Source organism: Homo sapiens, chromosome 2, assembly GCF_000001405.40.
Source record: "Homo sapiens chromosome 2, GRCh38.p14 Primary Assembly".
Taxonomy (NCBI): Eukaryota; Metazoa; Chordata; class Mammalia; order Primates; family Hominidae; genus Homo; species Homo sapiens.
Genome location: NC_000002.12, coordinates 209606691 through 209632835, shown reverse-complemented (window position 1 = coordinate 209632835; position 26145 = coordinate 209606691). Strand labels below are relative to the sequence as shown.

Below are 26145 nucleotides of genomic sequence, written 5' to 3'. Positions count from 1 at the left end.
GTAAGAGTGAGGAAGAGGATGGCTCAGATTTCTGAGATACTTCAGAATCTGGTGCCTGGCCAGATTTAGGAATTAAAGCAAGAGGATTAAACAATAGATTCTTGGATTTCTACTTGGATATCTTGATGGATAGCAACGGAGATACATTAAAACTTTGGGTGCCAGGAAGAGCACAGAGGGACATGTGTGTTTGTGATGACTGACGACAGCATATCTGGATGGGCATGGCCAGAGCATGGTAGAAACTTTGTGTTTGGTGGTCTCAGGACTGGAGTTGAAGATAGAGACTTTGTAGTTACTGTTGTTTTCCTGTCTCTTAATAGTCACTGAGAATCTATTAAGCACGAAGTATGACACTTTTTTGTTGTTCGTTCTTTCTTCTTGACTTAAATGTCATTTTCTGTAATAACAACCTTGGTTCATGATAGGCATGATTCCTTCTTCTAAATATCCTTCTCATTTTTCTCTGTTTCTCCACTTCTCCCCACCAATGTGAATGTTCCCTAATGTTCTTTGCTCTTTTCTGGCATTATTCTCTTCTCCATGGCCCTTCACTCCAAATAGTTCAGATACTGGATATGTAGATGAGTACCTAGTCCATAATTCCAGTCCTGACTGTTATCCTCAGCTACAGGTTTCTTTTCCACTCACTTTCTTGTCCACTGCCACATATTGAAGGTGTAAATACATATTAGTGATGCAAACCTCCAATTTTCTTTTGCTTCAGAATCTACTGTCTAATTCATTCTACATATCTTTGCCAGTGTAATCAAACTTCCTAACTCAAGTTTGATCACATCATTGCTCTGCCAGAAACCGTGTTGCCCACGGAATCCCCACTATCTAATGAATAAAGTGCATGCCCCTAGGTTAGGTTTTATAGCATCTCCACAGTCCTATTTCAATTTACCCCTTTTGACTCAACTCAGTCTACTACCTTACATAATCCAATTAAAATGGACTTGCTGTTTCTTTTAACACATGTTGCAGTTTCATGCTTCTACACAATCCCTTACTTGGATTTCTCATGCTTTATAGAACAGAGACTTGAACAAGGTAGGATTAAAATATTTTTTAATGAGTAAATAGAAAGATCTTTGCTTCATCACATACTCTTTTCTCTCCTGTAAAATGATGATTGGCTCGAAAATAAGTTTATATATTTGGTTTCATATTTCAGTGAGAATTAGGCAGGTATTATGCTGCAGTTAGATTATGACCATTAAGAAAAATGTTTCCTTGTTAACTACTTTTTTTTTTTTTGCCAACAACAGAAGCCTGAGGGACAAAAGGGGAACCGGCCAAACATACCACTTGTGGGAAAATGGCCATTCACCTCCTCAGGAACAGCCAGGTCCACAGGACAGTAGCTGAAGGGTCTGCCTGCAAAGTTCCTCATATCACACTGTATCCTCAAATTAAAATTCGTTTCAATGACCATAGGACTGAGGTTTTAAAGCATCCCAAACTCATAATCACATTCATGCCAAGTTTTGTAGAAGAGTGGTCTTTGGAACTATGTGTACTGAAACGTTGGTTTAAGTTGTGCATGTAAACACACAGACACCCACATACCCGCACATCTCTTGCTAAGTTCACATTTTTCATATTGCATCAAAGGGACAGGACAGACAGATGAATGCATCTTATAAGCAGTTTTATTTTTACAGGAAAATGTGGCAAGCTAAAGGCTGAATGCTAACTTTGCACCTGAAATGCTTCCTTAAGCTGCTTGTTCTGTCTCTAGATTTGTCTATGACAGTCATTTTGCTTTCCATCTATTCTCGCTCTCTCTCTCTCTTTTTTTTTTTTTTTTTTTTTTTTTTTTTTGCTTGTAGCTCCCTTCAATCTTGAAAAATGCTACTTTCTAGCTCAAGGGACAAGGAGAGCTTGAATAAGACTTTTAAGGGCTTATAAACATCCTCAGTTTCTGAGCACCAACCAATATGGAAGACCCTTGATCAGTAATAGGGTTTTCATGAGTTGACAACCATAAAATATACCTAAGTATGTGAAGAAGAAGGAAAAAATAGTATGTAGTGAACACTCCCTAAAGTATCAATTACACAAAAACCACAGTCAAGAAGTCCTTTATCCATTTGTCTTTCCCTTGGAGGCTGGCTATACTCCCTGCTCTTCTAATCTCTTAACATCCTACTCTTTGGCTCTTTATACAACAATAAAATTCAATAAAGGGGAATTTTGTGGAAGGGAAGACTTAGGGTATAAATAAACTGTACCATGAGATTTTTAATAGCTTTTGAGACTCCATTTCACTGATTATTCTTCCCTCTTCCCACCCATAGGTATAGGATCCTGGCAACTATATATGCACCACCTGGTCTATTCCATTGATCACAGCTTATTAGCTAAGCAGCTCAGGTCATTAAAAATTAATATACTGCTTGAAGCTGGCATTCATGAGAAAGCACACTTGAGAGTTGTGCTTGTGTAATGGGCAGTAGGGAAATCCAGTCTCTACGTAAAGAGTTATCTATAGTCATCTTGAATTAAAGAGAGCTACAGAGGGATCGGGCTGAGGAGCCCCAGAGAGATTGGGAGAATGGTGGCCTTAGTTCCTGGCTGATGTTTAGTTCCTGATTCTAGACCCTCATAAGATCTGTTTCTGAGCCCTTGGATTATGAGGTCCCTCAGCAACCATAAAATAATCTTCCCTATTCTGCTTAAGCAAAGTGACTTATAGCCAGTAAAAGAACTAATTGCATAGTAACCATGCCTGGACCACCATTTTTAAAAATTCTAAGCATTAGAAAAAGTGCTCATCAGCACCGTTTTTGTTTTCTTTTCCTATCTCCATTTGGTCAAACAGTTAAAAGACAAGACTTAATAACAGCACCCTCCTAATAAGAACTAGAGCCTTTTGAAGCAGGTGGTGCCCACCTCTGCCTACAGAATTCCAGCCCAAACAATCTGCCCAGAATTACTGAGAAATCAGTAGAATGTGCTGATGACTCAGCCTGTTAAGTAGGAGGGCTGTTATTGTTATTTTAACTCCTGCCAGAGTATGTGGGCAATTCTGCCTCTTTCTGTCTCTAGTTAACCATGAGAGATCCCTCTTCAAAACCTCACTCCTGGAATAGGTTCTTGTTCAATAAGAGCCAGAGTAGCTTGAGATCTGGATATGACTGCCAGCTGAGAGTACAGAATAGGATAGGCTTTTATAATGGAAGCATCTGATATCCTAATTTACCAATAGAATTTATTTTTAGAATGCTTAATCTGCCTTTAAAATTATTCACACAGAGTGCCACGGAGCGGAGTTGAATGCTGATGAAGTAGTAATCAGTGCAAGTCAAAGTATTTATTTTCAGAGAGGATGGTGAAAATACCAGGTTTTCTTTCTCATTTCCTTAAATGTTGGGGTATTGTGGTTCTACTGTTTGTCTTTCTCTTGCCAAATGTTCTCAATGATATAAACACTCATCAAGTGCTTCTCCTAGGAATATTATAAAAATAAAACAACAACAACAACAAAAACCCAGCCTATTTTACAGAAAATTATCTTAAAGGATAAACTTTGCTCATCTATGAGTGATGAAGAGATATAAATCTATTCTGAAGATAAAGTAAAATCTAAACTATGTTGAATGTGGTAAATCTTAGTATTATTATTTAGTTAAAAGACTGCAAGGAATAATAAATATTTTCTGCTCTTCAACTGGCTTTCTCATCCAGCTAATTAGTTCCTGATTTGTCTATGTGCATTTTTCTTTCTTTTGGTATTATACATTATGGCTTGCAATTATAAATCAGCTAAGTAAAGTTTCTCATAATGCTATAAAATCATGAGTCAAAAACATGAAAGTGCTTTAGCATTGCAGATGTGATGGCCTCTGTTGAAACAAACCAAAGGAATCCTTAAAAGGGCAACGACTATCACTGTTCTGCATTAAAGGTACTCTGTGTGCAGAGCATCTACCTACATTGTTCCATGGTAACCCTTGCATACCTAGTCATCCCTTCAGCAAGTGAGGGTCCATCCACCAGGATAGGTGGTAGTTCTAGGGGCTGGTAATACAGCTCTGAACATCATAGTCTCTGCCCTCCATGAGAGGAGATCATGTCGAGATGATGTAGGTAGAAGATGCCAGTATATGTAGCATCTTGTTGGCCATTGTAGGAGTGTGGGCTTTATTTTTGACTATTACAGGCAGTCATTGGTGGATTCTGCATAGGAGAGTCATATCAATTGATTAAGATGTTTTTAAAAGATAATTCTGACTTCCATGTGAACAATAGACTGTAGAAGAACAAGACTGAGTACAGGGGATTATGATAGTAGTAAACATGAGAGACAGTGGATGTGAATGATATAGGTAGAGATGATAAGGCATGATAAGATCCTGGACAGGCATGAGCTTGGTACTGTAATTATCTACTCTGAGTCTTAAAGAGATTAAATCATGCCTTTAACAGGTGGTGGTTGTTAGAAACAAACAAACTTTCAGAGTTGCTAACCACTGCACTGTAATATTTAAGGTTTTTGTGTGAAAAATATCTCGGCTCACTGCAACCTCCGTCTCCCGGGTTCAAGCGATTCTCCTTCTTCAGCCTCCTGAGTAGCTGGGATTACAGGCACGTGCCACCATGCCCGGCTAATTTTTTATTTTTAGTAGAGACGGGGGTTTCACCATGTTGGTCAGGCTGGTCTCAAACTCCTGACCTTGTGATCTGTCTGCCTCGGCCTCCCAAAGTGCTGGGATTACAGGCGTGAGTCACCGTGCCCGGCCGAAAAATATGTGAATTCTACATAAGTTAGTAAGACTCAAACTTCAAACACATTTAGAAGTACATGTGTTAGGATAGAAGTATTCAACTCTAAATTCATGGAATATGAGAATTAGTAATATTAGCAAATGATTGCAAAGATTTTGTCATTTGCAAAACATTTTCACTCCTATTATCCTATCCAGTTTAATTGAATTGGCATGGCTAGGCAATTTCAAAGGTAATCACCTGGTAAGCAGTGTGAGGATATCACAGCAAAATAAAAATGTCTAATTAAATAGTCACATTTAGTGGTATCACTAAATTAATCTTCGTGGTTTTCAATAGACTGTTTCTCATTTTAGGTACTGTGTCTTCCTTGCTTTCCTAACACTGGACCTCAACTCACATAAAAGGATCCCAATAAATATTAGTGGCATGAATAAAATTTCTATATATGTGACAAACAGATTAGGTTTTTCCAATTTATTTTCTGGTAGGCAGAATAGCTTCAGAGCCTGAAAGGGATGAGTTTGAATGCAGGCTCTGCAATCATTATATGATCTTGAGTAAGTTACCTGAGGTATTTGGGCCTTATTTGCCTCCTATGCAAAATGGTAATGCATTTCTGACCTAAGAGACTTATATAAAATCTCAAATTTACTTACTCAAATTTGCCCAAAAAGGTTAGTCTTCTATTCCTCTTCCTCCCCCAACTTTGACGAAATAATTTACTTCTCTCAGAAAATAAAAGTTGGGAGAGAGTCTATGTCTACTATTTCACTACCATATACTAACATTTCTTTTACCTTAAACAAATTCTAAAATTAGCTATAGTGTTAGAAAACATTTTGAAAAAAAATTTCTTTTTTAGTTTCCTCCATTATTTTCTAGAATATGAGCAACTAACATAGGCCAGACCAAGATATTTCACTTTTAAGTATCTTAAATTCCAAAGGTAGTAATTTATACTATATTTGGGAATAGTAAGTGTTTCATGTATAGGGAAATAAAACAGATTCTAATTATTGTGTTATAGCAAAAGAATGAAAATCATGAGTCCCATTAGATTAGTAAGATCCTTACAAACCAAATAAAAAAATGTTTTTCTAGTTGAAAAAAATAAAACATAAGCAGGATTGGCATGATATTATATATTAAAAACTTTGAATTCCTTATACATAAATCTCAAATAAGTTTTGCAAGCCATGCTTAAACCATTTTAACATTAAACCTTTAAAATGCTGAAAGTTATTTAGAAATAATAATTAATAATACTAGGCACCAGAAGATTAAAACATTAAGATGAGTCAACTTTATAACAGAAGGTGTCAACCAGATCTTCATGCCTCGATATGAAAGAATCTCTACATATAATATTGGGTAAAGATGAGATGCAAAAGAATATCTACAGTGTGATGCCCTTCATGTAAACTTTTAAAATGTTAATAATTGTTCAACATTTGTTTCTTACACATGTCATAGCAGTGTTAGAACACACACAGGAAGGTTATATGATCTTTAGGGTTTTGACATCTCTGGAAGAATGGAAGAAACTAAAAAGGAAGCAAGAAGAGCTTTGATGACTTCTGTGATTATTTTTTTAGACAAGATTTTAATATAGCTGCATGTTAGCATTTGTTTAATCTGTGTGGTGGATGCTTAGGTATTTGCTGTAATATATATACTTTTTTGAGACAGAGTCTTGCACTGTCACCTGGGCTGGAGTGCAATGTTGTGATCTCAGCCACTGCAACCTCCACCTCCCAGGTTCAAGAGATACTCCTGCCTCAGCCTCCCCAGTAGCTGGGATTACAGGTGCCCACCACCATACCTGGCTAATTTTTTGTATTTTTGGTAGAGATGGGGTTTCACTATGTTGGCCAGGCTGATCTCAAACTCCTGACCTCATGATCTGCCCACCTTGGCCTCAAAGTGCTGGGATTACAGGTGTGAGCCACCACACCCGGCCTATAATATTTTTTTATATTTTGCTTTGAACATCTTATAAATTTTCTTGCTTAAAAACAAATAATAAAAACAAGAAAGTGAATACTGCTGTGGCCAATTTAAGATTATATATTCAGTACTTCTAATTTAAAAAAACTAAATTGAAATATATTTCCTAGAATAAGAAATCATTCATTTATAATCTTTCCATAATTTTATTATGCTTTTATCATAGGAATTTTGAGTTTAAAGAAAGATGTAAAATAAAGGAAAATATTATTTCTGCTTGTAACTGAGCTAAAGCATATATATTCCTTTATTTACTCATGCAAAAATTTTGTGAGGAACAAATGCAAACATAAAAGTTTATCTGCTATGCATTTATAGCGCGTTCAGTAAATGCACTGTTATTTTTATTCCATAAATTTTGATAAAAACTACTCAAAATGTAGGAAAGTCTGATTGCTAGACATTTCTACCACAACATGAAACTACTCTCCTAATAACAGCTGGGGCTGGTGTTCTGTCCAGTGCCTGCTTCCAAAGCCATGTATGCAATCTCAGGTGAATCCCTGCATCCACCTGCTTCTCTCTCTGCCTCATGCCCCTAATCTCTAAAATGGGGATGATCCCCATATCTACGTCATAGAACTGTTGTAAGAAGTAAATGAATTGATTTATGCAAATTAAGTCATGTAGGATCATGCTTGGCATGTAACAGGTACTGAAGAAATACCGTTGGCATTGTCAACCAAGGCAGGAGAGACAGGCTGAATTCAATCCTGATTTAAGAGAAAGAGCTTGTCATTTTCTTACTATTAAGTCAACTCAACACTATGAAGTGCTGTTTTAATAACACTGAATTTATTAGCTATAACTATTAAAATATTAGAAATAACTATTTATAAGTTATTTCTCCATTACTAAAATGAATTGTTACTTATTTAAAGATTTTAAAAAACAAAAGGTTAGCAAAGAGTTATTTTTCACACTTGTAGGTAACTCTTTCAGAGTAGAGAGAGTCTTACCTATTCAAGGAAGTGGTAAAATATAAAGTTCGTTGTGTCGTGTTCTCAAAGGGTTGATAATATTTTCTGGCTTCTTTCTGTTAAAAAAATAGAAAATTAATAGTTTAATCCCTGATCCATATACATTAATCACATCAAGTAGCTCAACAACAGAATTCATCTTGTGGCTTTCTCTTCTGGCAACTATAAGACTATGAGATGGATATCATCATGGTTCTTTATAGTGGTCATACACTGAGCATTTATCACTGGCTGGGAACTATCACAGATAGAATAGAAAAGTGAAAATGCTAACTGCTGCATGCTTTTTCTCACTTTGAAAACCACTCCAATGGCACTTTATAGGTATTACATCCAAGGGAGAATAAATTTTTAAATTGTCTTCAGCTAATAAATAGCAGACAATCATATTTTCTCCCAAGAGAATACATTCATTCTAGTAAATCATTAATTATATCCAGTAATCTTTAAAGGACTGGGCCTCCAGCCCAGTCTGCATTGATTCTCTCCAGCACAGGATGGAGAGGAATTTTTTAACAACTCATTAAATTTTCTCCATGGAGTACTAAACTTATTTTGACATTCAGAATCCTAAATGTCATTCTGGATTAGCAGTTCTGCTTAGGAACTCCACCTAGAACAATACAGAATACTTCTTACTGAAGTGGTATGTAGAAATAAACAGAATTACTAGAAAGCACGAGGCTTGTTTTCTACTTCATAAGCCATTCAGGTGTAACTATCTTCATCTATAGAGGACTACAAAGGACGCACAATACATAAGGGATTGCAGAGCTGAGGGCCATTTTATAGTCCAGCTCTCTTATACTAGGTATCTAAATCTATGTATCTCCATGCGTTTTGTCAGGACCTGTGTGATTTTACTCCTGGTAGAGTGGACCCCGTCATATCTTCTAGGAAGATGTTGCTCTACAGGTAAGGAACCCAGACTCAAACTCTGACACCTATTAACTCTTCTTTAAGACCCACTAGGAAATGCAAGTTGGAAAGACAAGATGCAGATGGCTCAATTCTTCTGTATGAACCTCTAAGGACCAATGTGTATATGGATATGAGCAGACATAAGTTTGATTCAAAAGCAAAAAATATGGTCTGGGCCAGAGCTGTGTATGAAGTGCTTTTACATGTGTTAGCTCATTTAATCTGTGAATATTTACACACAATGTGCAGCAGCAAACAAGTCCTATTAGTACATATTAAAGTTAGAATGTCTTAACATTTAAATAAACATTTAAAAATGTCTGCAGGCAAGAAGAAACATGGTAGAATTCTCCATTCCCTGTAATAATTTGATAACTATTTTAAAAAGAAAGGTCTGACCGTCCAAATCTTTGCATATAGCTTTTTTTTTCTTTAGTCCAGCTCAGTGGTTCTCACATTTGGAATATATATAACAGTATAATACAGAGTTCTATGCACAATAACTTCAGACTATTTAGAGAATTTTTAAGGACAATTTTGATTATTAGCAAATTAAACCTTCTAAGTTGGTTTTAGAACTAAAGTAGAATGGTAGGCCAGCTCTGGAGCTTATTTGGATAGAAAGAGTCTTTGTGTACTTAACAAATGAATGCTGGATAGAATATCTGTTTTATTTTCTCTTGAAATTATGTATTTTTCTTAAATTTCTTAAAGTGCTTGTTTTTTGTGCTTCATCTTCATGATTTTTAAGTAAGCACATATGCATATGGATAAGTGTGTGAGTACACATTCTATGTGTATGTCTTTTACCCTAGTAAAAATAAGAAAAAAAATGAATTTTATAAAATATGAATCAGTAAACTATGGTCCATGGGTCAGAACCATCCTGCTGCTGCCTTTTTTAAAAAATACAGTGCTTTTGGCACATAGCCACTCCCACGCACTTCCACGTTGTATATGGCTGCTTTCATGCCATAATGCCAGACTTGAATGATTCTGACAGACTATATGGCCTGCAAAGCTCAAAACATTTACTATCTGGCCATTTACAGAAAACATTTAACCTATCTGTTATCAAAGAGCATGTTCATTATTTGGGTAATATTAAAAACAACACTAAAAAAAATCCTGTCTTTTAGTCTTTCCAAAAATTAACTCAGTAGTTACATATGAATGAAAGTGAAATTCCAACCCTAAATACTTAAAAGCTTATTTCATCCCAAAAGAATTGGGAAATTATTGGCCAAAGGATGAGACGATTATTAAAAAATTCAGGGTACCCAATACCTATCAGTCATAAAAAGAATGGCCCATTTTCACATAAGCTTGACTTTTATGAGGTTTTGTTTATTATAAAAAATAGAAATAACTATAATTTTCTAGACTTTATGAGAAAGAGATACATACTCTCAGGGATTTATTTTTAAAGAGCAACTTATGGCCTATTCCACAAGGCATACGAAATTTTAAATTAACATAGGATAGTTAGAAGTGATCCTTTGTACCCATATAAATAGCATTAAATTACTTTAACACTAATTTTTTTACAACATTAACAACATAGTTTTAACATTAGATTCATTATATAAAGTGGCTGCAACATGCCTAAAATAATATTAGCAAACATTTATACATAATTTATTGTGTGCTAGACAATGATCCAAGCACTTCATATATATTAAGTAATTTATTCCTCACCATCATCCTCTATTATTGTCCCCACTTTACAAATGAGAAAACAGGCCAAGAGAGTTTAAGTGTCCTTCCCAGCATCACAAGGCTAGAAAGTGCCCAAATCTTTTAGCTACATACCAACTCCACAGACACTGAGAATTGGTTTTAGGTCTTCAACTCTGGCTAGAGACAATTTTGAGCCTAAGGGCTTGTGGCTTCTCTGAGGAATGATATTACACTGATGGCAACTTTTAATTTACTAGAATTACCTACAAAGTACTTTTTTTACTCAGCACATTCAGCTTCTTGAACAAATTGTAGTATACTCAGCCACAGTTCTGCCTCCCATTATATCATTCCATTATTTCTACCAGGTGTGCTTATGCTACCTTCCAGAACCTTTTAGAGCCAGATATGAACACTGTTGAGAATCATGACTTACAACACATGACAAAGTCAACTGCTTAACAATTATATTTAAGAGTTAGCCTACACAAGGCAGAGAATAGGATGTACACTGCACACTGGCATCACAAAGTAAGCTGAGTAAATCATTTAATGAGGAACCCAAAATACTTGTTCAGCTATAAACGAAGTCAGCTTTTATTAGCTGGTTACTCCGTAAAATAAGATATGCATGCAATGTGCTTAGGCTGCATATATGTTTGGCTGTTCTCATATTTATGTCCAAGTTATTTGCTACCTACAGCATTGAGGCTATAATGATAAATTCATGCAGATTTTCAGAGTCTCCTGGAGAAAATGTTGCCATGTTGTGGTTTCCTCAACGGCTGTAAGAACTCAGGTTTTATTAAACAACAAAGTCATCAAGATAAAATCTTCCCTGGATTGTTGAGCCAGGATATACTCTTTAGTTTCCTTCGAAACACATTGTAAGTATCATTTAGTTTTTAAATCTCATGTTTGATAGACTTTGCCAGATAAGCAAAACATCAGTCGGGCGTGGTGGCTCATGCCTGTAATCCTAGCACTTTGGGAGGCTGAGGAGGGTGGATCACCTGAGGTCAGAAGTTCAAGACCAGTCTGGCCAACATGGCAAAACCCCCTCTCTATTAAAAATACAAAAATTAGCTGGGCATGGTGGTGCATGCCTGTAATCCCAGCTACTCAGGAAGCTGAGGAAACAGAATCACTTGAACCCGGGAGATGGAGGTTGCAGTGAGCCGAGATCGTGCCATTGTACTCCAGCCTGGGTGACACAGCAAGACTCTCTCTCAAAAAAAAAAAAAAAAAAATCAAGATGCCTGAAGTTGCTGGAATCCTGTATTCTTTCTTTCTGTCTTTCTGTCTTTCTTTGGTTTCACCCTTGTTGCCCAGGCTGCCAGGCTAGAGTGCAATGGCGTGATCTCGGCTCACTGCAACCTCCGCCTCCAGGGTTCAAGTGATTCTTATGCCTCAGTCCCCAGAGTAGCTGGGATTACAGGTATGTGCCACCACGCCCAGCTAAGTTTTGTATTTCTAGTAGAGACAGAGTTTCACCATGTTGGTCAGGCAGGTCTTGAACTCCTGACCTCAGGTGATCCATCTACTTCGGCCTCCTAAGATGCTAGGATTACAGGTGTAAGCCACCAAGCCTGGCCTCCGAATAGTGTTTCTAAAGGCTAAGCTTAACCTCAATGACTAGCATTAAGCTATTCAGTCAATTCTCAAATAAACAACAATAACATTGTACTCCACCTCCACTATCAATCTGACCTACCAAGATTTTGAGCAATTCATGTAATTTAGTGCACTTGTCCAGGATAACAATATTTTAGCTATTGAAGACTGAATGTCCAAAACAGTTGGGAAAATATCTATTATTCAAGCAGTCTTTTAAATAGGAAAGCAGATGCCAACATAAAATCATTTAGTCTAACATGCTACTAAACCAGTTCTACTCCCTAATGTGCTTATTATAGAATTAGTTATCTACATATTTGTGAGTAGAAGGAAGTCATGGTGTCCCAAAGGCACTGATAATTGAAAATATCAGAGAATGATCTTTCTTTCTTGGAGCTTTTGTCAAAGTTCCTTTTAAGAGAAACTTATGTTTCTTGCAAAGGAAACTTATTTCAAAATATAATTTGAAAGGATTAAGAGCTGTTAGCAAATTCCTATGCAAATAACATATGGTCTTCAGTGGAGCAGAGAACTTGGGTAAGGTAGACAGTAAGAATTATCTCCTTTCATCTCTAAACCCAGAAGCTCCAGGCTATTGTAGAGGACTAACGGGCTGGGTTAAGCTGATTTAGTAGAAATGATCTAGTCTTGTCTGAAGCATCTCAACATAATTCAAGGCAGTAAAAATAGTATACAAGTAGGTGAAGGATAAACAATTAGATTAGTCAGAAAAGTAAGGCTTAAGTCTCAGAGGCTTTACACAATAAAGGTTATAACCTGTTTACACAAATCCTGATGTGAGTAGGAAGACTCTCCAGGCCACTTCTCTCTCATGCAGTGACAGAGCTCTCTAGGTACATCCTTCTTGTGGCTCAACTCACAGCCTTCAGGATTACAGCAGCAGCAAAAGAAGACATCTGGAGGGCTGAGCACAGGCTCTTAAATGCCTTAATGAGGAAGTGACACACATCACTTCCTCTTACAGCCCACTGTACTGAACATGTTGCTTAAATGCAAGGGGTGGAGAAACATGGGGGATAAATGGATATCTGATATCTGGTGAGCAATAAATATCTCCATCTCAAGGATGAATGGGTATGATGGGCTGGGTCCTGTAGCTATGTTAGGATTCTTCCTTGTTGACAAAGGTTGAAAATAAATAACAATGCCTGGTGATATCAGCTTAAAACTCACTTTGCTAAATTGGTAGCTTATGCTGACTCTGATTAAATATATATACATATAAACAAATATTTTATTTTATAAATAAAATATGAATTGGCACTGTAATATAGGGAACGTTGAGCAGCAATGGGGCACATGTATCAGTATTTTTGCTTATTTATATACTACACTGCTGTTTTCTGCTCAGCATCAGAATATAGCTGAAGAAATGTAACACTACTTGACAGAAAGCCATCTGTTCATTTGTCTCTAAGTTGCATACAAAACACCAAACTTTTATTATTTATTCAATTAGCAGATAAAATTATATATATTTATCATGTATAATATGATGTTTTGAAATATGTATACATTGTAGAATGGCTAAATCAAGCTTGATATCATATGTATTACTTCACATAGTTGTCATTTTTTGTGGTGAGAACATTTACAATCTATTCTGTTAACATTTTTCAGGAATACAATATATTGTTATTAACTACAGTCACCATATTGTATAATAGATCTCTTGAATTTACTTCCCCTACCAAACAGAAACTTCGTTATCTTTGAGCAACATCTCCCCAGCATACCCCCAACATCACTGCCACAGCTCCTGATAACCACCATTCTACTCTCTACTTCTATGAGATCAACATTTAAAGATTTCACATACAAGTAAGACCATGAGGAATATGTCTTTCTGAGTCTGTCTTATTTCATGTAACATAATGTCCTCCAGGTTTATCCAAGTAGTTGCAAATTTTTTTCTTTGTTATGGCTGAATGATATTTCATTATGTATATATCCCATATTTTATTGATCCATTCATCAGTTGATGGACACAGGTTGATTCCATATCTTGGCTATTGTGAATAATGTTGCAATCATCATAGGAGTGTAGATATCTCTTTGACATTTGGTTTCAGTTTCTTTGGATATATATCCAGTAGTGGGATTGCTGGATCATATGGTAGTTCTATTTTTAATTTTTTGAAGAACCACCAAACTGTTCTCCATAATGGCTGTACTAATTTATATTTCCATCAACAGTGGGCAAGTGTCTCCTTTTCTCCACATTCTCTCCAACACTTATATATTGTCTTTTTGATAACAGCCATTCAAACAGAACACCAATCTTTAAAAAATGGTAGAATAAATTAATGCAGGTACCCAGGTTCATGTGGTAGGAGAAAAAAATTGGAGAGAGGCTCAAAGGAAATTGAGCAGGTTCACATGTTGTCGTAAGACTTATCTTGCCGGGATACCACATAGTGATTTATTAGTAGCACTCATGGTCAAAATTATTTTTTCAAAATGACAAAATATAAATTTCTCAGCTTAGCCTCAAGGACTTTTGTATTGTGACTACAATGTATTCATCCTGAACTTTCTACTGTTACAAACCCTCACATTTTCTTAGACTAGTTCTTTTGCAGACCTATTAATTCCATCTTTGTATTTTTCTCCTCTCCTGCAAGGTCCTCTTCTTTCTCTTTCTTTCTGCCTGTCTCCTCTGCTCCTTTTGTCTCTTCCTTCCTCTTGATTTTTCAACTCCTTATTTAACTGAAGTGTTCTCCATGAACTCTTCGATTCCCCAACCACTCCAGGAATGTTTCTTTCACTGATGTATGGTTCTCGTTTCTTATATTTATTTGATATTCATGTAAACTACAATATATAGTTAATTAAGGCTTCATGAAATTGTAAGAAATTCATGTCCCTGACCTTTTTTTTTCTTTATTTCAATTCTAAAAGCCATTAGTATTTATTAAATATGTAAACTACTTTTTGATAGCATTTTGAATTTAAAATAAAAACATATGCAGGATAAAAAAATGTTAAACCATATACGTACACAATAGATTTCAAACAATGCTGCCAAAGTGTCTCTGAAGAGTTATTAATTTATACCCTTTGTGGACTGTATTATATCCTCCCCCACCCCCAACATTCATATATTGAAGTCCTTACTGCTAACGTGATTACATTTGGAGATAAGGCCTTTAGGGAGGTGATTAAGGTTAGATGAGGTCATAAAGATAGGGCTCTAATCCAACAGGACTGAGTCCTTATAAGAAGAGGAGGAGACACCAGATCTCCTTTTCTTTCCATGAGCACAAAGAAGCAAAGAGTCTCTCCTTGACCAAACTTTAGCCAGGCTTCTCTGAGCTCTCTTCTTAACTAGAAGACTTGACTTTGGCTCCTTTGGATTCTTGGAGCAAGAATCTAAAATCAGTTTAGAGAGAATCCCCCACCCTTGACATTTGATCACGCTGGGTATCTGATTGAGTTTCTTATCCTCCAGCTTTGATGTGTGTCTTTGGTCTGCCTTCAGCAAGAATCTGATTAGGTAGGTTTGGCAAGAATCAACCTACACTTGATGCCTCTTGGTAATTTTTCACCCATAACCCCCTCACTCTGCTCATTGGCTAATGTTGGGGCTCAGAAAACAATAACCCAAAATGAAGGCCTAGGAAGCAGTTTCTTTCTGATCTTCTCCTGTCCTTTTGTCTATCTCTAGGCCTCATTCTTCTCCAACACAAGTCATAGAAACTAGAATCCCTGTTCCTTAAGGTGGGTCATAGAAACCAGAGCCCTCTTTTCCCAAAGTCAGCCATAAAACCTAAAAATATCATTATGACTCCCCACACTGTATCCCCCATCCCGCCTTTCTGTGTAAGAATTTGCCATAAAGAAATGCTTTGATCTACCTTGTTTAATGGAAGGAAGGAATGTTGCACAGAGGCCATGAAGAATCTGAACAGACAGGTCTTGCTGGGTCCCCCCGCCTAGTCTATAATTATGAGATAATATCCTTTTTGTCCAACCATATTTCTACATGGCTGCCTATGCTTCACTGAACCTAAGCCCCCCAGCCTGTGGTGTTCTTTATGGCAGGCTGGGCAGACTAATACATACTCATCCCACTGTCTATTTTCAGACACTATCACTAACAATGCATATTGTGTATTTGTTTAATGTCTGCCCCACTCCACCCCAACTAATGTGTATACTCTAGAAAGACTGACTGTTTTCTTATTACACTACACCCCTTGTTTGGTAGCAAATACTTGTTCAGTAACTATTCAACCAATGAATGAACAGCTGAGAGACGTATTGCAAAAAATGGAAAGGTGTGCTCAGTACTGGTTAACTTTGTGTAGATGAGCTCCTCTGTTATAAGCAATGAAATCTTGCTATACCCTGCTTAATGCTTCCCTGATTTGTAAGTGGGTTAGTAAAGGTCTAATGAATGAGTTAATGAATGACGTAGTTTATTTTCCTAACCATTCTGACTAGGAATTAATCAAATTTGGTCTTTGAAGTAAAAAGAACTCAAACTTTAGATATAGAAGCTGAACTTGAACACTTACTGGCTGTGTAATATTGGTTAAGCCTTCTAACTTTTTGGATCATCACTGTTAGCAATAAAATTGATGTAGGATTTTTCTTCTTGATCACTTTGCAAGCTGGGGACCCCGGGCCAGTGATGCCCCACCTGGGCCTCACTAGGCCATGCTTGTGTGTGCCAAGGCCACAAGCTGGTTATAGCTGTGTTATAGCTGGTACCTCTGTTTGGTGGTTCCCGAGCTCTTGTACCATGCCCAAGAAGAATGAGGATACACAGCAGGACATTGAAGCGTGGAGAGGGAGAAGAATTTTATTGAGCAATGAAAATAGCTTTCAGTGGACAGGGGATGTGGGATAGGGGAGAAATGGTGCCCTCACCCGAAGGTGGGAAAGTTCTGCCTGTGTGGCTGGGTCTGGGCCTTTTATGAACTCAGAATGGGGAGTGTGTGCTGATTGGTTTGTGAGTATGCAGAAAAGCTTAAAGTGAAGATACCACTCAAAGGAGGGCATGATAGCATAGAAAAATCAATTAGGAAAGAGTAGGTATATGTAAAATAGGTGAAGGGTAGGCACAAATCAGAGGAAAGCGCACTAAACAGGAACACAAGTTCTCAATCCAGTCAGAGGATTTAACATGTAGCTTGGCTTTCAGGCTTTTTACTGTCTTCGGCTTGGAGGTGGCGTTTCACCGGGGACCTGCCTGTATCTGCCTAGGCATTTGGCTGCCTCCTGCCACTCTCAAAATGAAGACTATTAATGAGACTTCCCCTATAGAGTCATTGTAAGGATTACATAAAGTTATATGTTTGGAAAAATGCTTTGACAATTGTGGAAAATTGCAAAGTGTCAATATCAGTCTTTAAATGATATTTTCTTTTACCACTTAGCACTACTGTATTATCTCATGAAGAAACTAGGTATTAACTTGAGCAGAAACCCTATGGTTATTTTAATCTGTGGTTTCTTGGCTTCAACTCTTCTCTTGAGTTTTGCTTAACATCTAAAAGCCTTTTGTAAGGTTCTTAAGACATGAGGTTGTCTTTGAGAAGGATTGTGGCAGAGAAAGAACGCATTTCACTCACTAATAGCCTTGAGTTCACCTGCTGGGAGCCATCTGTCAACCTGCAGCCACATACAGAGATTTCACTGAAGAGGCATTCGGCTGAACACAGGGGACAGAGCACCAGGCTATTTTTGAGGTCAACGTGAGCATTCAGATTCCAGCTGTGGTCTATAGAAACTGGAATTCAGCTGACTGATGATGTTTTTTGCCTGAGCTCCACACCCTCTGACATTCCTGATCGTGGATAATTTGGAAAGGCATGCATTTAGGAAAGGGGACCACACCAGAGAGAGGGAAATACAGGCTGTGCTACAGTCATCTGAGCAGAAAAATGAAATTCTGACAAATCTACTTTTAGCATGAAAAGCTAAAAGCTCTAGAAGCAGAGGAAGTTCATCGACTCACTGGAGTCTTGCGGAAGAGTTTACAATTAAGGGTGATCTCCAGCTGATTTGAGTTCTTTATCTTCTGCTGCATGTTGTTCAAGAGGCAATGCATGATCACTTAATTAGCACAGTGGGGACTAAGCTGGCACCCTCCCCTCCCCCTTCTGTGATACTAATGTGAAATATCTTTTCTTCCTCCCCAAATTATTTTCTTAACAGTGGCAGCCAACATTTTATTACTAAAGCGATTGCTTGTAATAACGCATTTTAAAAAGTGAGTTTCTCTTAATTGAGTGAGAATATTACTTACTGGCTCAGAAAATATATCAACATAAAAGCAAGCCTTGAAATATATCTCGATCTATAATGTTATCACTCCCAAGTGTTCTGGAAATTCTATAACCATATTCCTGAGTGCATAATATGATAATTCTCAAATCAATAATCTTGGAAATATACATGATGATATATCATTAAGATTCTACCAAAGAAAGATGGGGGACTTGGCATAGAGATTGCTGGAAACAAAAACAAAGAAGAGGCTGCCTCCCTATAAATAGGAGGCAAAGGAAGAATAGATGAATCATCTATTGGGGGTTTCTTTTAAGATGTTTTCCTCGTTCTTCTGTTATTCAGTCAGTGGCCATGCAATTCCCCATCCTTTGTGCTCTTTTCAGAAAGATGTTCTATTATTATGTTGTATTTAATTGGCTTAGATTTAAGTAAACAGGCACCACTGAGATGAGGGGCAGTCGGAATGGAGGAAGGAGGAGTGCAGAAATCAACACAGGAGGAGGGGCACAAAGAGACAGAAACTGCAGAGTGGGGAGGACACCAGAGAACCCGGGCATTGCACGGTATTGAAAAGCTTTCATCTAAAGCTCCTAGTAGCCACTTAATGTCTATAATTAAGCCACATGAGTCTGATTTATACAAAAACATAAAAATAAGATTAAAGCCTGGGCTTAAAAACACAGCAAGTGAGCCAATGAGGTTGCAAATATTCCAGCTGCTCTAATTATTGTTGTTCCAAAGGAATGTGAGGGCTGTTGACTCCTTGCTTGGGTTACCCTGGGCTCGTCTGGGACTACATCAGCTACCTTTGGTATTTGCAGGCACAAAAGTTTGCTTCAGAGGTAGGTTTCAACCTCACACTGTTAGAATGTTTTTTAGAGCTATGTTAAGCCAATGAATAGTTGACAGACTTCAAAATGTTTTATCTTTTAAAATTGTGGCTCTGAATAACTATACTACAATAAAAAAGTCCCACTCTGAGTCTTTCAGTGGTCTAATTCCAAGACACCAAGTGTAGAGCTCTTCTCCGCTAGCCCCACTGAGCTCCTTGATCCATCCATCTGGGGCCTTCCCAAAACTGCAAAGCCAGCAACCTGCACTGTGTGCTCCCCACGGCAACTAGTGACTTGCATGATTTCACCTTTAGCAGGGGCTTTGGCTCTAAGGAAGATTTTGGAGGCACTTTCTTAACGAAGGACTACAGATCCTATAGTTTAGTGAGTTTTGTTTTCTTTTGTTTATGATTTTATTTTTGCCATTTCACATTCATTCTATTTCCTAATGTTAATTCCAAACAGAGAGCCATTCAGCTAAAAGAAAACTCATGCAGCTATAGAAAACAGATTAAAATAAATAAATAAATAAATAAATAAATAAAAATAGAAATAAAAAACACGTTAAGAGACTGGAAGCCATTTGTGGCTTTCTCTTTGCCTCATGTTTTGGGTGGTTCTGTCTAGTTAGCATAAACAGAATATGCTTTCCCTATGCACAGCAAGTCTACTTCAAGCTCTGAAAATACTCTCACTGATTGTCTGGAGATCAACTGATGCGCACGGCGGGGGTAAGAGAACCTGATCTAATAGAAGGTAATTTTAGCAATAGTCTCCAAGAATTTATTACAGTAGCAAGCAGCCATGAATGGGCCATGTTTCATTAGATCCTGATATAACTTTGAAATAACACTAAAACCAGGAATACAGATTCCTATTGTGTTAATAAGAAAACATAATGCCACTGCTAAACCAAAAGATAAGGATCCTTAACTATCCAAAGGAAGTTATAGCATTTTCTGCTCTTAAATAAGATTTCCTGTAAAACTTGTTCTAATACTATGTTTCCATGTCATAGAGAAGTTGACTCATGACCAAAAAAGACATTTGCCATTCATTTCCCAAAATATTCTCAAATATTGATCAGCTATAGCATCACCTAAAAGTCTTGAAATAATGTATTTAATAGTTCTCTCATTCATTTAATACATTACTTGCTATAGCTGCTGGCTGAATAGCACTTTTCAACAGCATCATAAGAAATATTATTTCTGCTGTTATATGGCAGCTGACAAACTCAGCTACAACAGGCCCAGAAAAAAATTCTGGCTCCCAATTTCCTGAAGAGTTGGTTTTTAGCATTACATAAAGGAACGATCTTTTCTCTTAAATAATTTGAATTAAAACCATTTTTTCATAAAGAAATAAACTGTGAAGATATTTTAGAAGAAATCAGTGTTCTTGTGATAAAGCCACCTTAAAGTCAAATTGAATGTTTTTAACCCCTGACTTCATTACTGAAATGCAAACATTTCAAAATTATAACTAGAAACTAGAAATAAACAAATAACTAGAAAACTTCTATCTTTTCACTCTCGAAATATTTTATGAATAGACCACATTATATTGGCAAAGAGCTCTTTTCTAGTAAAGGTCTATAAAATAGAGTTGATTTCAGAATTTGTTTTTAAATTCAGCAGTTTTATTATTAATGCCCAATAAAGGCGCTGCATGAAATGAAACGCAATTCATGTGATACAGCACACACATATCACAGAGCCATCTCTCTTGGGTAAAATGCTTATTAAAGCTCATGTCTTAAAGCAACCTAACAGACCTGTCTTTTTCCAGCTGCTTTAAGGAGTTACATGGAGTTTTATTTATCCACTTATTTATTTTTGGTAGTGATACACGCTAATAGGTTTTAGGGTTACTTTACTGTAATATTTTGTTTTTTCTTTATACTCCCTGCTTGTTAAATTGTAACAACTTGGAGCAAATTTTTCTCATTTTCACACTTTTTCTGCCTGTAAAGTGTTACCTCTGAGAGCTTCTTTTAGAAAGTGTCAGACAGTTGTGCTTGGTGAGAGAGGCTCATGTATTATACTTTGTTCTTTATAAATCTTTAACTTTGTTGATGATCATGGGTTTCAGTGGATGTTGACTAACACTGTTATGGACTCATATAACTCCACTCTCTAAAAGAAGCTTTCTTTTCCTGAGTACTTCTTATAGTACGGAACTAGCAGTAGGTAACTTATAGCAGTTACAGCAAGAGGCTTTATGACAGAGTATTAACAAAGCCAGATCTCTATGTGGCCAATTATTTAATTTCATTGGTCCATAATTTCTTCATCTTTAAATTGTAAATTATATTATATATATATTTTTTCAGTGTGCATTACATGGTACTATTATAACTAATGAATTGTATAAATTTGTTTTTTCAAAACACTGAACAGAGAAAGAATGTTGTTATTTACTATGTTACCTTTCCAAACATGTGTTGACACCAAAATCACCTGGGATCCTGGTTAAAAATCCAGAGTTCTGAGTTCTATTCCAGGGATTCTGATTCCAAATGTCTGTAGTGGGTCCAGGAATCTACATTCCTCACAAGTGCTCAATATAATCCCTGAGTATGATCTAAGGTCTATAATTTTTAAAAAAGAGAATACTGCTTTCAAGATATTAGCTTATATAATAGCTGTTAGTTTAAATATTTGGCGTCATTTGTAACTGCATTGGTTTAAACTTCTCTAAGTAGTATAAAAAGTGACCAAATATTTTTTCCTAGTAACTTATAGATTATTTTCCACTCTCAAAAACCCTAGTTTTTAACTTTTTTGTGTGTATAATAGACTCTTTGTAGAATTTAATGAAAGCTTTGGATTCATGCCCATGCAGGCATGACCTTTATTTTTTACAAAAGCTTTATATTATTTCTACAAAAGCTTCCTGGGTCCCATTCATATAGTGCCTGAGAGGAATGGCTCTCAAGTCAAAAGCACTTAGGCTAAAGAATTAGGCATTAGCTAATTGGAATTTAGAGAATGGTTTCTGTACCTTTAGAATTTATAGGTCTAAAACATGTTTATTGTATAATGGAAACATATGGCCTTTATATATTTATTATAATACTTCTTAAGTAGCCATGATTGCTTATTCCGTAGGAGAACTGGAAAGAATAGTTCTTCACAAAATTGAATTGGAGAATTCTAATAAGGAGGCTGTTTATCCTGTGAAAATAATACAAGTTTTTACTTTTGATAACAAGTTATTTGGTAAACACATAAAAGAAAACTTGAAATGCCACAATTCTACCACAAGTTTTGGCAGAAAAGATAACGTATCATCCAGCAAATTTCGCCTTTCTTAACACAGCTAAGCCCTGGGAGAAAAAAAAAAAAGTAAAAACAATACACATTTTCTTTTTGCTTGCATTATCTCTAGGATTAAAATACTTCAGTGGTCCAATACTCCTCAGAAAATGAGTAAAACCCTTCCCTTGTCCTGGAAGATTTGGCATCATTTAACCTTACTTTCCAGCCTCATTCCACACATGCTTCCCCTACCCTCTCCTCTCCTGTTACCTTGCCTCTGTCATTTCTCCTATAAGCCATGCTCCTATAGCCAGGGCCTTTGCATGTGCTCTTGCTCTGCTTGGAATGCTCTTCTCTACCCTTTTTACTTAGGTAATTATTGCTTATCCATAGATCACAGCTAAAATATCCTCCTTGACAAGGTCAGTTCCCCAATGTCTTCTTTATAGCTCTTGCCATGGTTCTAATTTTGTGTTTATTTATATGATTATTTAATAAAAGCTTATTCCCAATTAAACTGTGAACCTCATGAGGACATGAACCATAATTATTTTTGTTTATTCAGATCATAAACACTTAGTGCTCCATAAGTATGTATTACGCATATGAAAGAATGAGTAGAAAAGTACATGAATGTATGTGTTGTACCAACCCAGCATCTAAAATAATAAGAAATACAATAACTATGTAAGTCTAGGAATACCACTTTGGGACACAATCTCACATGTATTAAAGGAGGATACTGGACTAAATAACCACAGGGTTTCCTTTCAGTTTAAAAAAGAATCAATGACTCAGCAACTTAAATGTCCGTCAACTGATTAATGAACTAATAAAATCTGGCATATCCATTCAATGGAATATTATTCTTCCATAAAAAGCAGTGAATGATGCATGAACACTGAAAATACGATGCTAAGTGAAAGAAGCCTTCTACAAAAGACCACCTATTGTATTACTTATATGAAATGTCCAGGAAAAGGGACAGATCCATAGAGAGTAGATTAGAGGTTGTCTAGGATAGAGGTGAGGCAGAAATTGAGTGACTGCTGATGGGTTTCCATTGGGGGTGATAAAAACCTTCTAAAATTAGATAATGGATATGCTTGCATAACTCTGTTAATACACTAAAAATCACTGAACTATTTAATTTAAAGGGGTGAATTTTTATATGTGAATTATATCTCACTCAATATAGCTATTATTTTCAAACAAAATTAATGACCCAATGACATATGTTAATTCATGATTTTGATAGAAAAATCAAAAATTAATTTAGTAAATATTAATTTTTTGAAATTTAAGATTTTTTTCAGAGTTTTAAGCCTGAGCAATGGGAAAATGTATATTCAGAATGAATATACATTTGTTACTATATATTAGGCATTAAATTATACCTCATCTACTTAGATCTTATTTAAAAATACATGAAACACCCTTCCTGATTTCAAGAAGCTTATATATAATCAAATCTGGGATGGTAATTAACACAAAGTATAGGGTGAGAGCACAGAAGAAAAAGTATGTGTCAGGGACTATGTGAATCAGAGAATATATTACATTCAATTTTAATTATTCTGGAGAGCATGGTATTTAAGATGAGCTTTGTAAAGTTACACATAATTTGGGCAAGCAGGGGATGAGGGGCAAAGATGAAACTGAAGAAAGAGCAGAAGCAAAGGGGCAATGAGAACTACAGGTTGTTGGCACACAACAGAGAACAGTGGGAGATAGAAATGGAAATGTAGGTAGGGGTCATATAACAGAGGGGATGGAATCCTAATTGGAGGAATGTATATTTATTTCAGCATACAGAAGAATTTCTTGGAGGTTTTAGGCTAAGATATAATTAGTTGTGTTTCACAAAGATTAATCTAGAATTGAAATGGATGGCCTCGTCAAATATATGGAACAAGAATCTTGGGATAGGCCAATAGTTTTGGGATGGACCAATGATAGAGTGGCAGGATGAAGAAAAGCCAGTAAAAACAATACAATTCAATATTGCAGAATCAAATAAAAATAGATTTCCCAGCCTGGACAACATAGCGAGATCCCATCTCTACAAAAAAATTAGAAATTAGCCAGGTGTGGTGGCACACCCCAGCAGCCCAGCTACTCAGGAGGCTGAGGTGGGAGGATACTTGAGCTTAGGAATTCAAGGTTGCAGTGAGCTATGATTGTGTCACTGCACACTAGCCTGGGTGACACAGCAAGATACTGTCTCCATTAAAAAAAAAAAGATTCCAAGGAGAAATGGGTAGCCACTAATAATATCCTCTTATATATGTGTACAGTATTTAATCTTTGTTTCAGGTTTTGGACAGTATTTAATCTTTGTATGATGTTTCATAACTTGCCTAAGGTCTCACAGTCAGTGGTGCACAGTAGAGTCAAGAGTGAAATCAAGTTTTCACATTCTTTCTACTGCATCATTACTGTGGCAAAGAGAGGTCATTCAACATAAAAAGTAAAAGGCAACTGTTCCATTTTAAAATAAGATGATCACAGGAGATCTCTCAGAAAACATTTCCAGCATATAATAGGGTGAAAATGAAATCTAGCAAAATGCTAAGAAAAGAGTGTGACAGAAAAGATATAAGACAATAAATTGAATGGACATGTTAGAGGAGTTTGACTAGCAAAAGGAATAAGAAAGTGGTAGTTAGAAATATTAGCAGAATTAAGACTGGGGCTTTCAGAATTAGGACTCTGGAGTAAAAGGGGTACCCCTCACTGGTGAGGATCCAGCAATAGTGCACACCAGTGGGGTAGGCAGCCACATGGTATTAATATTCAGGCCGGGCACAGTCGCTCATGCCTGTAATCCCAGCACTTTGGGAGGCCAAGGTGGGTGGATCACCTGAGGTCAGGAGTTCGAGATCAGCCTGGCCAACATGGTAAAACTTTGTCCTTATTAAAAACACAAAAATTAGCCGGGTGTGTTGGCAGGTGCCTGTAATCCCAGCTACCTGGGAGTCTGAGGCAGTAGGTTCACTTGAAACCAGGAGGCAGCGGTTGCAATGAGCTGAGATTGTGCCACTGCACTCCAGCCTGGGCAACAAAGTGAGCCTCTGTCTCAAACAAACAAATAAACAAACAAACAAATGAAACATTAATTTGAAGACATCTGAGAGGGAGGGAATAGTTTACCATCTTTCAAAATCTGTTTGGGATGAACTGACCCTTGGCTCAAGTTTTATATTATCTCTTGACTAATTCATCTTGGTCTGCAGTCAGTGAACCAGTTGTTTCTCCCAGTATTTCAGTCTATGTTTCTTTAAGTACTGAAATAAAGAAACTTTAAATATTCAAAACACCTTCAACTTTGGAAAATGTTTTAAATGTTAAATAGTATCCAATGGTTATATGGTTCCCAAGTGTATTTGAAAGTAGAATGCCATCTACTTGGAAATGTACCTGGGACATGTACATCATAACATAGAAACATGTTGGTGAGTAGATGAGTTTTGTGGTTATTACCTTATTATACTAACTGGTAGATGCTATTAGTTTTTCTCATCATTAACAATAAAATACTTTCAAAATATATTTAAAGTTAATAAATATTTCTGCTGAAGATTAACAGGAACACAACAGAAAATGATATATTTAATATCATTAATGCTATTCATTTACTGTGAAGTCACCTAAAATACAGATATCAAACATTTACCACCTGTTACTTGAGTTAGCTTTTGACTTTCTGCGGTTATTGTTCCTTTAAATGAAAATTTAATTATGCAGTTACTTAGCTCCAAGCAGGGCTCATATATGCAAAATCAAATGACTCATAAACATGATCTCAACTATCAAATGTGATAATTATTTATTACATTCAAA

The 26145-nt window shown here is 36.5% G+C and overlaps 1 protein-coding gene across 74 annotated transcripts in view, besides 2 other annotated features; it reads right to left on the bottom strand.

The window, feature by feature from the left end:
• MAP2 (microtubule associated protein 2) overlaps nucleotides 1–26145 on the bottom strand; it is a 310066-nt gene that overhangs the window by 101277 nt on the left and 182644 nt on the right. For all 74 annotated transcript variants that reach the window (NM_001375493.1, NM_001375501.1, NM_001375503.1 and 71 more), the window contains one exon: nucleotides 7707–7783. The gene's annotated coding sequence lies outside the window, so the exon portion shown is untranslated. The remainder of the gene's footprint in view (nucleotides 1–7706; nucleotides 7784–26145) is intronic.
• Nucleotides 17044–17640: an enhancer, noted in NCBI's record as "OCT4-NANOG hESC enhancer chr2:210479920-210480516 (GRCh37/hg19 assembly coordinates)". NCBI's record gives its function as "activates a minimal SCP1, AML or CMV promoter by ChIP-STARR-seq in naive and primed H9 embryonic stem cells {active_cell/tissue: H9 hESC(naive and primed)}" and the evidence as "EXISTENCE:reporter gene assay evidence [ECO:0000049][PMID:30033119]".
• Nucleotides 17641–18238: an enhancer, noted in NCBI's record as "OCT4-NANOG hESC enhancer chr2:210479322-210479919 (GRCh37/hg19 assembly coordinates)". NCBI's record gives its function as "activates a minimal SCP1, AML or CMV promoter by ChIP-STARR-seq in naive and primed H9 embryonic stem cells {active_cell/tissue: H9 hESC(naive and primed)}" and the evidence as "EXISTENCE:reporter gene assay evidence [ECO:0000049][PMID:30033119]".